General features: G+C 40.6%; 2 annotated features.

Annotated features, from left to right (window-relative positions):
- Positions 6,464-7,003: an enhancer, noted in NCBI's record as "NANOG-H3K27ac-H3K4me1 hESC enhancer chr7:105720431-105720970 (GRCh37/hg19 assembly coordinates)". NCBI's record gives its function as "activates a minimal SCP1, AML or CMV promoter by ChIP-STARR-seq in naive and primed H9 embryonic stem cells {active_cell/tissue: H9 hESC(naive and primed)}" and the evidence as "EXISTENCE:reporter gene assay evidence [ECO:0000049][PMID:30033119]".
- Positions 7,004-7,541: an enhancer, noted in NCBI's record as "NANOG-H3K27ac-H3K4me1 hESC enhancer chr7:105720971-105721508 (GRCh37/hg19 assembly coordinates)". NCBI's record gives its function as "activates a minimal SCP1, AML or CMV promoter by ChIP-STARR-seq in naive H9 embryonic stem cells {active_cell/tissue: H9 hESC(naive)}" and the evidence as "EXISTENCE:reporter gene assay evidence [ECO:0000049][PMID:30033119]".

The following is a 15,373-nucleotide window of genomic DNA, read 5'->3' on the forward strand; positions in this document are numbered from 1 at the left end:
GCCCACCAAGCTTATCTTGCCTTGCTTGCTTTTAGCCGCTTGCTTCTAGCTGATTTTAAAATCCATATAGCTAAATAATATATATCTGCCAGTAGCTTCCTTATAGTTAACAACTCTAAGGCATTGCTCACCATGGTAACAGTTGTTTTTCAGGAAGTGGGGGTCAGTCCTTGTCCACTTCAAACCAGCTGAGACCACCAGCCCTTCAACTGGACCTGTGTGAATGTCCAGTTGATATGGACAGGAGACAGGGAAATACTGGGTAGAAGAGGGTGGTTCCCTGGCAAAGGCCCCACCCTAAAGCCTGGAAACCTGCAGCCTGGAATGAGAACAAGCATTCCTGTTTTCATGCCCAAATGTTGCCTTTTGGTCTGGAACGCCCCCTATCCTGTAGTCATATAAACCCTAAGCCCCAGGCTCTACAAGCAGATGAGCAGACAAACAGAAGAGCAGAAGAGCTGCAGAACGGCGTGGCAGAGAAGGAGAGTAAAGAAGGAGCATCTGAACATCAAGAGGAGTTTGGCTGGGGCAGTCAGGGAGGAGAGATAGGCCATTGGACAGCCAAACTCCAGGGAAAGGTCATTTTCCCACTCCATCCGCTTTCCGGCTCCCTGCTGACAGCCACCTCCACCACTCAATAAAACCCCCACATTCACCATCCTTCAAGTCTGTGTGTGATCTGATTCTCCCTGGACACTGGACAAGAATCCAGGTACCAAGACGGCACTGAGCTGTTTAACATTTAAGCCATCTGCGGATGGCAGAGCTAAAAGAGGACTGTAGCTCATCCACTGGGGCTTCAGGAGTTGCAGGCTCCTACCCCTAGACACCACTGGTGGGCCGGTGCCCAAAAGCGCTCACCCTGATTCCTGCACCTGCCTGCGTGCTCCCTCTCCCGTAAAGGGTTTGAGCACACACAGTGGCTGAACAGACGAGCCACACCCTTGTTGCATGTCCTGCAAGGAGGTTCAGGGAAACCTCCCGTTTCACAGTGGGTGACCTTTTGATGTTGGAGGGCCAAAAACTCCACCCTCAGATCACGCTAATGATCTCATTTTGTTAACGTGCATCCTGTTAAGAGCCATGAAGCTTGACTACACTTGTGCAGGTCACTCATTGCCTTGTTTTCCCTTACTCCAGTCACCTTTCCCCATGCCTCGGACCGCCTTGCTACTCTACCCCATAAATATCCATAAAGCCTCTTCTACGGGGAGGCAGACCTGAGAGGCATTCTCTAGCTGCTCACTTAGCTGCCTCAAGAATAAAATCTTTTCTCCACTGCCAAACTCATCATCTCAGTGATTGGTTTACTGTGTAATGGGCAGAATGTGCCTGGCCACTAACATGCTCACATCTACTTTCTCAATACACTAACTCTGAGGTAAGGAAGGCATATCTTAGTTCCCGAGTTCAACAGATGGGGAAACTGAAGTTCAGGAATACTTCAGCTTTGGAAGCACGGCAGAGACTTAGCAAACAGGTTTTCTTTCAGTGCTTAAGTCCTCACTTTCCAATCTCTGTAGCCCTGCTCGTGACACAGTGGACATTGTGCATTTGCTTGTCTCACATCTAAGGGAACACTGATTTACTTATTTATTTTGAGACAGGATCTCAGTCTGTCACCCAGGCTGGAGTGCAGTGGCACAATCATGGCTTGCTGCAGCATCAACCTCCTGGACTCAAGTGATCCTCCTGCCTCAGTCTCCCGAGTAGCTGGGACTATAGGTACATGCCACTATACCTGGCTAATTTTTTTTTTTTTTTTTTTTTTTGAGACGGAGTCTCACTCTGTCGCCCAGGCTGGAGTGCAGTGGCACCACGTTGGCTCACTGCAACCTCCGTCTCCTGGGTTCAAGCAATTCTCCGGCCTCAGCCTCCTGAGTAGCTGGGATTGCAGGTGCCCACCACCACACCTGGCTAATTTTTATATTTTTAGTAGAGATGGGGTTTCACCATGTTGGCCAGGTTGGTCTTGAACTCCTGACCTCAGGTGAGCCGCCCACCTCGGCCTCCAAAGTGCTAGGATTACAGGCGTTAGCCACCACGCCCGGACTACCTGCTTAATTTTTTGATTTTTTTTTTGTAAAGACAGTGTCTTACTTTGTTGCCCAGGCTCAAGTAATGCCCACTCCTTGGCCTCCAGAAGTGATGGGATTATAGGCGTGAGCCACCGTACCCGGCCTGGGATGCTACTCTAAATGCACATTCATTCTAGCTCCCAAACTACTTTTTTTTCGCTATTTCTAAATCAAAATGCTTTTCGACATTGCTATGTGGAAACTGTGGGTTTTATAAAGTTATAAAGAATAGTTTAATAAGAAATTACACCCAAGAAAAGTATAAAACACATTACAATATAAATGTGACCTGGCACTTAGAATAAACATTTGCTTTGCAATACTCTCATTTGTTTTTTTCCTAGAATTTAAATGAGACTTTTTTGGAACCAGATTTTTAAAATAAACAAATGAACAACTGTCCCTAAGAAACCTTAGCTGACACCTTTTTTGTTTCTGTCTTAAAGTTCCCAGCCAAGGTTTTCAAAATCTTTCCCCTGACCTCAGAACTGCTGGAAGTGGTGCAGTGCTGACTGACAGTTTGTTGACAAGAGAGGCAACACTTCACACTTCACTGGAAAGCATAAAAGCGTGCTCCAGGTCATTAACTGAGACTTTTAAGAGGAACTGCTTGCTGCATTATGATAGTGGGATTCAGGAACATTTCTTTGCAATTCGTACAGTTTTGTTGTTTTTTCACAAAATGGAATTCAAATGCACAGAATGCAATTAATAAAAATTCTTGATTCATGGCACACTATCATCATTGGCCCGTGAATGGCCTTATTTTACTTTATATCACATTTAGTAATGAACACCTGGTAAAACCAAGGCCCAACCAAGAACTAGAATATCACCACCATTTTACCTTGACCTAAGGGAAAGGGAAGGGCACCCACTCTATCTCTGCCCTCTGGCTCTCTCACATAGGTTACTCTTCTAAATCTGTTGTTTGTCATTCCTTTGCTTTTTAAAGATGAGTTTTACCAAATATGCTTGAACATCTAAATCATATGTAATTGGGTCTTCTCAGGTGATAAAAGTAGTATCACCCTGTATATAGTCTTCTCTAGCCTGTTCTTTTCACTCAACAGTGTTTCTGAGACATTCATGTGGTTGGTAAAGCTGTAGTTCCTTAATTTTCACCTCTGTGTTATAGTCCCTTGTGCGACTCTACTAAAATTTATATTTTTTCCTGCCAGTAGATATCCGAGTTGTTTCTATTTCTTTCTGTAAGACAAACTTTTTTGCTTAGAACAATCTTCTGTTTCATATTAGGTGCTAATGTTTCTCTTGGGTATATAACTAGATGAGGAGTTACTGGGTCTTCAGGCATGAACAACCTTATAAGGTAATGACAAATTATTTTCCAAAGTGGTTATATTAATTTACATTTCTACCAGGAATGTGATCACATTGATTCACATTCCCTTCAAACTCAATATTGTCACACAAAATTTTTATCAATAGGTGTAAAATGGTATCTCTGTGGTTTTGACTTCCATTTCCCTGATAATGAGGTTCAACAGTGCTTCATGATTTTTAGCTGTATGTATTTTTTCTTCTGTGAAATGTCTGTTTGAATCTTTTGCAGTTTTGCTAGCTTTTCCCTCTTTTTGTTTGTAGGAACCCTTATCTATTCTGCATGCTAATCCTTTGTGCTATAATAACTTCAGTTGGAATTTTTCTTCTATTTCTTTAAAATATTTTTTGATGACATGTTTTGGTGACTAATTTTAACATATCTGAATTTGTGAATATTGTTTCTTACGGTGAGCATATTTTTGTGTGTTATTTAGGAAATCCCTCCCTGTTCTAAGATGAGAACAATATTAGCTTATTTTTCTCTAAAAGTGAAAGTGTGCTTTTAACACGTAAACTCTTAATCCTTCTAGGTTTGATTTTTGTATATGGTGTGAAGTAAGATCTGATTTCATTTTTCCACATGGATAACCAATTTTTCAGCTCCATTTATTATTCAATCTTGCCTTTCTCCAGTTCTGTACTTCCAGCCTGTCTTAAAAATTCAAATATGCATGAGTCTGATTCCTGGCCCTCTATTTCTATCTATCAGTCAGTTCATTTATTCCTGCACCAAGACCACACTATCTTAATTAGTATAACTTTATAAAAAATCATAATGTCTGCTAGAATAATTCTCCCCTTTTAATTTTTCTTCAGAAATACCTTGGCTATCCTTGACATCTGCTCCTTAATATATATTAGAATTAACTTCTCATGTTCTATGAAAAATCTTTTGGGGATTTTGACTGTAATTCATTACATCTGTAGATTAACTTGGAGAAAATTCATGTGTTTATCATAAGAACTTATGATTCATAAAAATGGGATCTTTGTCCATTTAGGTATTCTTTAATGCTTTTTGCTAAAATTTTGTAATTTTTTTGTATAGATTTTACACATCTTTGTTAGTTTTTTTTTACCCTAGAACTTATATAGTTTGGTGATATTCTACGTCAATAATATTGATATTTGTTTTTATTTTTTATTTTATTTTATTTTTTTTGAGATGGAGTTTTGATCTTTTTACCCAGGCTGGAGTGCAATGGCGCTATCTCAGCTCACTGCAACCTTCACTTCCCGGGTTCAAGAGATTCTCCTACCTCAGCCTCCCAAGTAGCTGGGATTACAGGCACCTGCCACCATGCCCAGCTAATTTTTGTTTTTTTGTATTTTTAGTAGAGACGGGGTTTCACCATGTTGGCCAAGATGGTCTTGATCTCTTGACCTTGTGATCCATCCGCCTCAGCCTCCCAAAGTGCTGGGATTACAGGCATGAGCCACTATGCCCGGCAATATTTGTTTTTAAAAATAAATTGTGCTTTTAGATTGTGTCTGGTATAGAGAAATGAAACTGAATTTTTATATTGATCTTATCAAAATCATCTATTATGTCTAAGAATTTATTTTTAGATTCTTTGGGGATTTCTACTGAGAACTAAGCTCTGATTTTTTTTTTATCTTGCCCCAATTCCTATCTAAGGGGTCTGTGGAGTCATGTCCTACAAACCACAAATTCTCATCAGAAGGGTTTTATTTAACCCTGTATATTGTGGCTTACTTTCCAATCTGACTCTGGCATAACAAGGAAGAAAAGCAAAATATTTTACCTCAAAACATGTTTCTCTGCCGTATCTTGAAATGGCCCTGCAAAGCTGTCCCTTGTGGGAAAAAATCCACATTCTATAGAGAATCCCTTTCCCCTCCTTTTTTTTTCCTTCCTTCCTTTCCAGATCCAGGAGATAATCAACTAAGAGCCAGGCACCCTTTTAGGTCCTATAAGAAACATTTTACAACCTGCTGTCTCTGAAGTCTGCTATCTAGAGCTTACTCTGCACAATAAAACTTGGTCTCCACAATCCTTTATATTAACCTGAACATTTCCCTTCTGTTGATCCCAGGTCTTCAGATAAACTCAAACTACTGTCAACCAGTAAATGTTTAAATTTACCTATTGCCTGGAAGCTCCCCCTGCTTCGAGTTGTCCTGCCTTTCTGAACCAAACCAATGTATTTCCTAAATGTATTTGACTGATGTCTCATGCCTCCCTAAAACATATAAAACAAAGCTGTGCCCCGACCACCTTGGGCACATGTTCTCAGGACCTCCTGAGGGCTGTGTCACGGTCCATGGTCACTCATATTTGGCTCAGAATAAACCTCTTCAAATATTTTACAGAGTTTGACTCTTTTGGTCAACAGTACTGTAGACAATCATATCATCCACAAAAAATGATAGTTTTATTTCCTTTATTTCAATTCTTATGTGTTTATTTTCCTTATGGTGCTGCAAAACATCTCCCTAAAACGCTGACTTGAAAAATGAGGGCAGGCCTCTTTACTTTGGTCCTGATTTCCAAAGAAAAACTTTCCATGTTTTCCTACTGAGTATGATTTTTGTTGTAGGCGTTTTATTTAAGATTGGATCTAAAGAAGACTCAAAGTCCCGCACAACATTGCTTTAATTCCATTGGCCAGAACTTAGCCACACAGCTATACAAAGCTGCAAGGGAGGCTGGGAAATGTGGTGCTTTAGCTGGGTGGGCAAATGGAGTTCTGTTAATTTGATATAGAAGGGAAGAATGGCTATTTACTTGGTAATGAGTAGGCAGACTCTACCATATCTTTTGGATGTTGCCTAGAAACCAAGGTGGGCATTTAGGCTAGTGTCATATGGATATCTTGCAAGATATAAAAATGTCTTAGGCCTTTTCATGTAATTATAAAAACAAACAATAACATTACAAAAAAAAGTTGCAAAGGAACTTTCTTAGCCAGCCAGTCCACCCTGTCTACTTCCTGATCTCAGAACTCCGTTTGTGCCAAAACTAAGACTCCCTACTTGTCAGGGAGAGAAGAGTAGAAACCATATCATGAAGATTTTCATGGTAAAATGAAAAATTGAAGTTTAAGCCAGTTTTAATTACCAGTGCTCTTTGTTACCTCACCACCCCTACTTCCTTGAACTTTGAAGGCATGAGGGAGGCATGAGACAGCAATCAAATACATTTGAAGGCATTTCCTCACCCTAGGAAGCCAAGGCACCATACATGGTAGGGTTGTTTCCAGACAAATTGTACAGGGAATCAAATAAGTGAATGCCCAGGTAGCGTATTTTCAAAATATACGTCTGCAGTCCTCCTCCCTTGCTATATACTTTCCCCCACACTCACTGCAATCTGGCCACACTGGCCCCTTTTCTGTTCCTCATTGTGATTTTAAAGTGTGGTAACTTAGTTAAGCTATAACTACATTTCCCAAAATTCCCATCTCCCGCCATTGGCAGTGGGCTGCAGAGAAAAGACTTGGAAAGTAGCAGAGGGGAGGCAGCCAGTAGGCTGTGAAGGTCAGCGAGGGCTGCCAGGCATGGCTGCTGCTCCTCCAGCTGCTGTCGGATAGCCTTTGTCCTGTCTGAGTCCTGAGCCAGAAACACACAGCTCTGCAGTGAAGGGCACAGGCTGCTTCTGTGGCTCCCCTGTATGATCAAGGTAGAAAACGGTGCATTCCAGTTTGTCCTTTTGAGTTCCTATTTGTTCTCATGGGTTCCAACTTGCCCTCACAGATTCTAGTTTGTTCTCTCATTTCATGTTCAGCTTTGCTTCCTGACTCCTGGTCTTGCTGGTCTACTGTGACTTCAGATCCATCTCCAAATGCAGAGGCAACCACCTTCCATGGGCGTCCTCCCCAGTTCCTGCAACTATGTGAGGCCCAATCCATGGAACCCCTTCACAACATTGTACAATAGCTTCATAGTAAGTATCACGATTTAGTAAGGCAGATCCCTCTATCACCTTCTCTAGGAGTGCCTTGGCTATTTGGGGAGCTATTTTTGCTCTTCCATAACAATTTTAGAATCAGCTTATTAAGATTTCCCAAAAACTGTAGAAATTTGATTGGAATTCAATTGAATCTGTAGATCAGACAAGAGAGTTTCACAGTTTTCTTAGTAATAATTTTGCACATTTTATTTTTATCTCTAGCTTCCTAATCCTTTTTTTTTACTTCAGATGATATATATTTTTTAAGTTATATTTTATAACTGTTGTTCTTGTATAAAAACAGTTTTTATATATTGATCTTGTATTCAGGAATCTTTCCTTTTTTTTTTTTTTTTTTTTTTTGACACAGAGTCTGACACTGTTGCCCAGGCTGGAGTGCAGTGGTGCGATCTCGGCTCACTGCAACCTCCACTTCCCAGGTTCAAGTGATTCTCCTTGCCTCAGCCTCCCAAGTAGCTGGGATTATGGGCACCCGCCACCAGGCCCTGTTAATTTTTTTGTATTTTTAGTAGAGACGGAGTTTCACTTTGTTGCCCGGGCTGGTCTCGAGCTCCTGACCTCATCATCTGCCCAACTCAGCCTCCCAAAGTGTTGGGATTACAGATGTGAGCCACCTCACCCGGCCTATTCGGGTACAGATGTGAGCCACCTCACCCGGCCTATTCGGGTATCTTTCTAAACTAATTCTAGTGGTTAGTGGTAGATTATTTTGGGTTTTCTATCTGGACACATAGTATGTGCTGATAACAGTTTAGTTTCTAATATTAGCTTTCTAATATTTACTTTTTTTCTTGTTCTGTTGTGTTGGCTAGGATCGTCAGTACAATGTTATTTCATTTTTACACATTCTATGAATATGGCCTCCCCTTCAATCAAATGTCTGCACTGCGTCGCTACTCATTCTTAAGTGATGAACTTGCTTATTTCACTGAGAAAACAAGTGTAGAGAGAACTTCCTTAGTCTAATCACCATACAATCTACAAACAAATCTTCCTTTAAACTTTTGTGTTTCCCTCCCAATACAATGAATGGATTGTGTGTGCTCTCGCCAAGATCAACCTTTCCTCTTGGGCACCTTCTTAAGGAGTTGGCTCTGCAATCACCCTGCCTCTCCTTCTTGTATCAGCATTTTTTTTTTCTATTTTAAAATGAATCAATCTTCTCAGGTTAAAAACACACTGTCATAGCTTAAGTCTTAAGTACACAAAAATGCGTCCCTCGATCTCACATCTTCTTTCAGCTATTCCAATTCTCTGCTCCCCTTTATAGCAGAACACCTCAAAAGAATCATCCATACCTGCTAGTTTTCACTCTCTCACCTACAAATTACTCTGTTGGACTACTGTAATGAAGTACTGTTGTTCCCAGAATTCCGCTGAAATAGCCCTTGTCAAGGACAATAACCTCTACAATGTCAAAGGCGATGGTTGATTCTCACTCCTTATCTTACTTAATCTCTCCGAAGTGTTTGACAGTGTGTGTAGTATAAATACATGGGGTTTGCTTACTCATTAATTTTTTCGAAGGGGTGAAGCATTTGGCTGTGATAAAATAAAAACTTCAGCCGAATTAAATTTAAAGGAGTTTAATGACTAATGAACGATTTGCGAATCGGGCAGCCCCCAGAATCACAGCAGATTCACGGAGACTCGAGCGCAGCCACGTGGTGGAAGATTTATAGACAAAAAAAGGGAGGTGAGGTACAGAAAAGCTGGTTTGGTTGCAGGTTGGCATTTGCTTTATTTGAACACAGTTTGAACACTCAGCAGTATGTGAGTGGTTGAAGTATGGCCGCCGGGATTGGCCAAGACTCAGTGACTGTTACAGGCGCATACTCCTAAGTTAGGTTTCTGATCTTGTCTGCCTATTAAGCTAGGTTACAGTTCGTCCACAAGGACTCAAATATAGGAGTCTTCTCAGGCCATATTTAGTTCACTAAAATAGCTGTATGATACAGATAAACCTCTGTTTAAACCAAATTTTTCTGTTATTTGCAACCAAATGCATTCCTCACTGCTTTATAAGTTTATAGAACCTGTTTTAATAATCCCAACCAAATCCCAGCACTTTGGGAGGCTGAGGTGGGCAGATCATGAGGTCAGGAGATCAAGACCATCCTGGCTAACACGGTGAAACCCCATCTCTACTAAAAATACAAAAAATTAGCCGGGCATGATGGCATGTGCCTGTAATCCCAGCTACTCAGGAGGCTGAGGCAGGAGAATCGCTTGAACCCGGGAGGTGGAGGTTGCAGTGAGCTGAGATTGCACCACTGCACTCAAGCTTGGGCAACAAAGTGAGACTGTCTCAAAAAAAAAAAAAAAAAACAACCGAACCAAAAAACATCTATTATAAGAAGCAACATGGTACAGTGAGGGGGGAAACTGAATTTAGAGTCCAGATGTACTTCTCCTTTGGGACTAGCGTGGATTTTACTCCCACTCTCAAACTTACTACACTTCAGATCCTACAGCTACTACACTTCGGATCCATTGTGCTAAGAAGGAAGAAAACAATGGCTGAGATTGAGGTAACAGTGCATTTTCTCTACTAAGTCTTCCCTCCACCTGGCTGACTAAAAATGTAGTTTGGCAATTGAAAAAATAAAAGGGAGCTTCAACTTCAGCTTCCCAAAGGTTGGATTAGATGCACTTTCCTTATTTTTCCTATTAAGTGCAAGTAAAAACTTAATAGAAAACAAACCTAAGATGTCTCTGAAAGGCGGAGATGAAGGGAGACTGGCTAGGGACCTTGGAACCCAAGAAACAACATAGTGGTGAGTTGTCTGGATTTTCCTTTTGCCTTATAAATCCCAGACTTGGAGCTGAAGAAACTGGCAACATGTGAACAGCAATAATGCAGACAGAAAAAAAAAAATAAAGTCCCAACAAAAGTTGGCTCTTCCTAGCTAAAGGACAAGGAAAAAGGCAACCTAGCAAGACAGAAAACTTTTAGGAAATAACGACTCTACCCTAGCCCAGCACCACAGGAAAAAACTATGGTTCCACCCACACCCACACCAGCAAAGGCCAAATGAACACCTCCACCCATGGAGGCTCTAATGAGGTGGCCCTCCCTCTTTCTCTCTGCTGGAGTGATGTCAGAAAAAGCCTGCAAAACAGAAGGCATAGAAAGACCCAGAGTCTCAAAATATAGTACCCGAAATGCTCAGGTTCCTATCGAAAATCACTCTTCATACCAAGAACCAGTTAGATCTCCAACAAAGGAAAAAAGACAGTGGATAACAACACTGAGATGACAGAGATATTAGAATCATCTGATAAAGCTTCTGAAGCAGTCATATAAAAGTGCTTCAACAATGGGCTCACGCCTGTAATCCCAGCACTTTGGGAGGCCGAGGCAGGTGGATCACAAGGTCAAGAGATCGAGACCATCCTGGCCAACGTGGTGAAACCCCGTCTCTACTAAAAATACAAAAATTAGCTGGGCATGGTGGCATGCGCCTGTAGTCCCAGCTACTCGGGAGGCTGAGGCAGGAGAATTGCTTGAACCTGGGAGGTGGAGGTTGCAGTGGGCCAAGATTGTGCCACTGCACTCCAGCCTGGAGACAGAGTGAGACTCCATCTCAAAACAAAACAAAACAAAACAAAAATGCTCCAACAAGCAATCATAAACAGGCTTGAAGCAAACGAAAAAGTAGTCTCAGCGAATAAAAAGTCTCAGTAAATAAAAGGAGAACCAAATTTTAGAAATGAAAAATACAAAAACCCAAAATTCAAAGGATAGTCTCAACAGCAGAACAGAAGACACAGACGACAGCTCAGTAAATTGGAAGAGAGAGAAGAAAAATTATCCAATTCTGGCCAGGCACGCTGGCTCACACCTGTAATCCCAACACTTTGGGAGGCTGAGGTGGGCAGGTCACTTGAGGCCAGGAGTTCGAAACCAGCCTGGCCAACCCGGCGAAACCCCTCTCTACTAAAAATACAAAAATTAGCTGGGCATGGTGGTGCGTCCCTGTAGTCCCTAGAGCTACTTGGGAGGCTGAGACATAAGAACTGTTTGAACCTGGGAGGTGGAGGTTGCAGTGAGCCAAGACTGCACCACTGCACTGCAGCACTCCAGCTTGGGTAACAGAGTGAGACTCTGTTTCAAAAAAAAAAAAAGAAAAAAAAATCTTAGCTTTGGCCTGTGGGGGAAAAAATAAATTACCCAATTTCTAGAGATAAAATGGACTGTTAAACCTGTATTACTATAACAAAAACAACAAAAAAATCTAACTTTCACATCATTTGAGTCTGAGAGAGGAGAAATAGGGTAGGGTGGGGCCAAAAAAGTACTGGAAGAAATAATGGCTGAAAACTCCTTAAATTTGGCAAAAGACATAAACCTACAGATTCAAGAACTGAGCAAATCCCAAACAGGTAAACCTGTTTTGCTTAATGTATCTTTTTTTTTTTTTTCATTTTCAATATACTGTTTCCTTATTTTACATGTGCTTTGGTTAACATATAAATTTAAAGGATAGAATAAGCTGATATACAAGGCAAACAGTACATCACACTCAACAGATACATATTTTTAAGCACATGAAAAAGTTAAAACTTTTGACCATCAACTAGGTCAGAAAGCAAGTTTCAGCAAATTTCAAGGGTCTGATTATTGCAGAAACCACAATGTGATTACCTCAGTAGTCAATAAAAAAAAAAGAAAATTCCATATGTTTGGAAACATATTACTAAATAACTAGTACATCAAAGAATTATGGGAAATTTGAATGTATTTAGAACTATGATCAAAATACTGCATATCAAAAACTTGTGGGATAAAGCTAAAGTAGTAGTTTGTAGAAAATTTAAAATCTCACATGTGTGTATTAGAGGAAAAGAGGCTTGAAGCCAATGAAAAAACTAATGAGCTAAGTACCATCTTGAGTTAGGAAAAAAAGCAGCAAAACAGACCCAAAGAAAGCAGAAGAAAAGAGCTAATGATGACAAGAGTAGAAATTAAGAGAAATAAAACAAACATAAAAGAGCAAGGATCAATAAAGACAGACTTGATCATTTGAAAAGAGATCAAACTGACAAACCTCTGACAATATGGATGGAAAAAAGGAAGGCACAAAAATAATAGGAATGAAAGAAGGAACGTAAATGCAGTTGGTGTAGACATTAGGCATATAATCAACAGGCTATGATCAACTTCATATTAATAAATTTGGAAATTCAGATGAAATGGAAAAATTCCTGGTAAAATACAACTGAATGAAGGAGAATAAAAAACTTGAATAGTTCTATAATCAAAAGCAAGACTGAATCAGTAATTTCTTTTTTTTTTTTGAGACAGCGCCTCACTTTGTCACCCAGGCTGGAGTGCAGTGCCGAGATCATAGCTCACTGCAGTTTTGACCTTTTGTGTTCGAGTGATCCTCCCACCTCAGTCTCCTTAGTAGCTAGGACTAGAGTCATGTGCCACCATGCCTGACTAATTTATTTTATTTTTTGTAGAGACGGAGTCTTGCTTTGTTACTCAGACTGATCTTGAACCCCTAACCTCAAGTGATCCTCTTGCCTCAACCTCCCAAAATGTTGGGATTACAGGTGTGAGTCATGGTACCTGGCTGAATCAGTAATTTAAAAATAATCTTCCCACAGAGAATTCTAGGCCCCAATAGTATTACTGGTGAGTTCTATGAAATATTCAAGGAATGAAAAATTCCAATTATTTCAGAGTATTGAATAAGGGAAAACACTACTCCAACTTATTATATGGGCTTGGGGGAAGAATATATGTTACTTTGTATAAGAGCCGCAAAAACTACAAGACAGATGTGAATCTTAAATCTTTATGTTGACAATTACAAAACTTTACTGAAGGGCATAAAAGATATAAATGGAGAGATATACCATGTTCATAAATACAAAATACAAAAGGCTTTGTATTTATTGGTATTACTGGTATTACAAATATGACCATTCTCCTCAAATTGATCTTATAAACTCAATGCAGTTCTTTTCAAATGAAATCCTATGAAGGTTTTTAGGAACTTCACAAGCTGATCCAAAAATTCATGAGAGTATAGGGCTTCAAGATAGCCAAGACAATTGTGAATAACCTGAATAATGATGGTGCTCTGGTGCTTATCCTATCAGAGAGTAATTCTTACTGTAAAGCTATATTTAATAAAGAGTGGGGCTAGATATGGTAGTGGTAAAGAGCATACAGAAAGAACTACAAATAATATGGAAATCTGACATATGACAGAGGTGAATAAATTTTTTTTTTGAGCTCTGTCACCCAGGTTGGAGTGCAGTGGTGCCATCTTAGCTCATTGCAACCTCCGCCTCCCAGGTTCAAGCGATTCTTCTGCCTTAGCCTCCTGAGTAGCCGGGATTACAGGTGCCTACCACCACACCTGGCTAATTTTTGTATTTTTAGTAGAGACGGGGTTTCCCATGTTGGTTAGGCTGGTATCAAACCCCTGGCCTCAAGTGATCCACCTGTCTCAGCCTCCCAAAGTGCTGGGATTACAGATGAGAGCCACTGTGCATGGCAAGATAAACTTTTAAATAAAGGTGGTACTATGAAAATTGGATAGGAGTATTGAAAATTATAAAAATTGAAGTAGACACCATGAACGTACAAAAATATAATCCCAAACTGCTTAACGACTAAAAAGTGAAAAACCATATTCAGAAGAAAAAAGGTTAATATCTTTATGACATTGAGGATTTCTTAATACAGCAAAATGCACCAACGGTGAAGAAGATACTTACATTAATATTAAAATAAAGTTTGTTTTTTTATTTTATTTTTTTTGGAGACAGAGTCTTGCTCTGCCACCAGGCTGGAGGGCAGTGGCACGATCTCGGCTCACTGCAACCTCTGCCTCCTGGACTCAAGCGATTCTCCTGCCTCAGCCTCCCAAGTAGCTGTGACTACAGGCACACACCACCATGCTCAGCTAATTTTTGTATTTTTAGTAGAGACGGAGTTTCACCATGTTGGCCAGGATGGTCTCCATCTCTTGACCTGGTGGTCCGCCTGCCTCGGCCTCCCAAAGTGTTGGGATCACAGGTGTGAGCCACCGACCCCGGCCATAAAGAACTTTTATATGACAAAAATCACAAAGTGAAAATGCAAGCCAGGAACAGAGAGAAGATATTTGCAACCTCTATAAATGTCAAGAGGTTAATACCAAGAATACATAAAGAGCACGTCAATTCAGCAGGAAAAAGCACCAAACAGAAAAATTTGCAAAGGATATGAATAGGCAGTACAGGGTGGTGGAAACCAAATGGCCAATAAATACAGGAAAGGACCACCAACCTAAATAGCAATCAGAGTAACATAAATTTTAAAGCATCAAAGACACAATTTCAAACTTATCAGATTGGCAATAGTCCAAAAACATCAAGTTATTGGCAATATGGAGCAAGAGGAAATCTTACTTATTGCTGGTGGGAGACTAACTTGTTACAGACATTTTGCTGAACAATTTGGAATACCTAGGTTACAATGGAAAACATGAACATCTCACATTCCAATAGTTCCCATTTCTAGTGATAGGTCTTAGAGAAGCCTTCACACACTGCAGAAGAATATTTGTGTGCTATTTTTAATAGTGAAAGGTAGGAAAAATGTAACTTTACCTCAGTAAGGAAAAGGCTTTATCTGTAATGTTTTATTTCCTTTAAAAAAAATCTGATGCAAAGCCAGGTGCGATGGCTCATGCCTGTAATCCCAGCACTTCGGGAGGCCGAGGTGGGTGGAGCGCCTGAGGTCAAGAGTTTGAGACCAGCCTGGCCTACATGGTGAAACCCCATCTCCACTAAAAATAAAAAAATTAGCCCGGCATGGTGGCGAGCACCTGTAATCCTAGCTACTTGGGAGGCTGAGGCAGGAGAATCACTTGAACCCGGGAGGTGGGGGTTGCAGTGAGCTGAAATCGCGCCATTGCACTCCAGCCAGGGCAACAAGAGTGAAACTCCATCTCAAAAAAAAAAAAAAAAAAAAAAATCTGATGCAACGCTGGGTGAGGTGGCTCACACCTGT

The sequence above is a fragment of the Homo sapiens genome, chromosome 7, assembly GCF_000001405.40.
Source record: "Homo sapiens chromosome 7, GRCh38.p14 Primary Assembly".
NCBI lineage: Eukaryota > Metazoa > Chordata > Mammalia > Primates > Hominidae > Homo > Homo sapiens.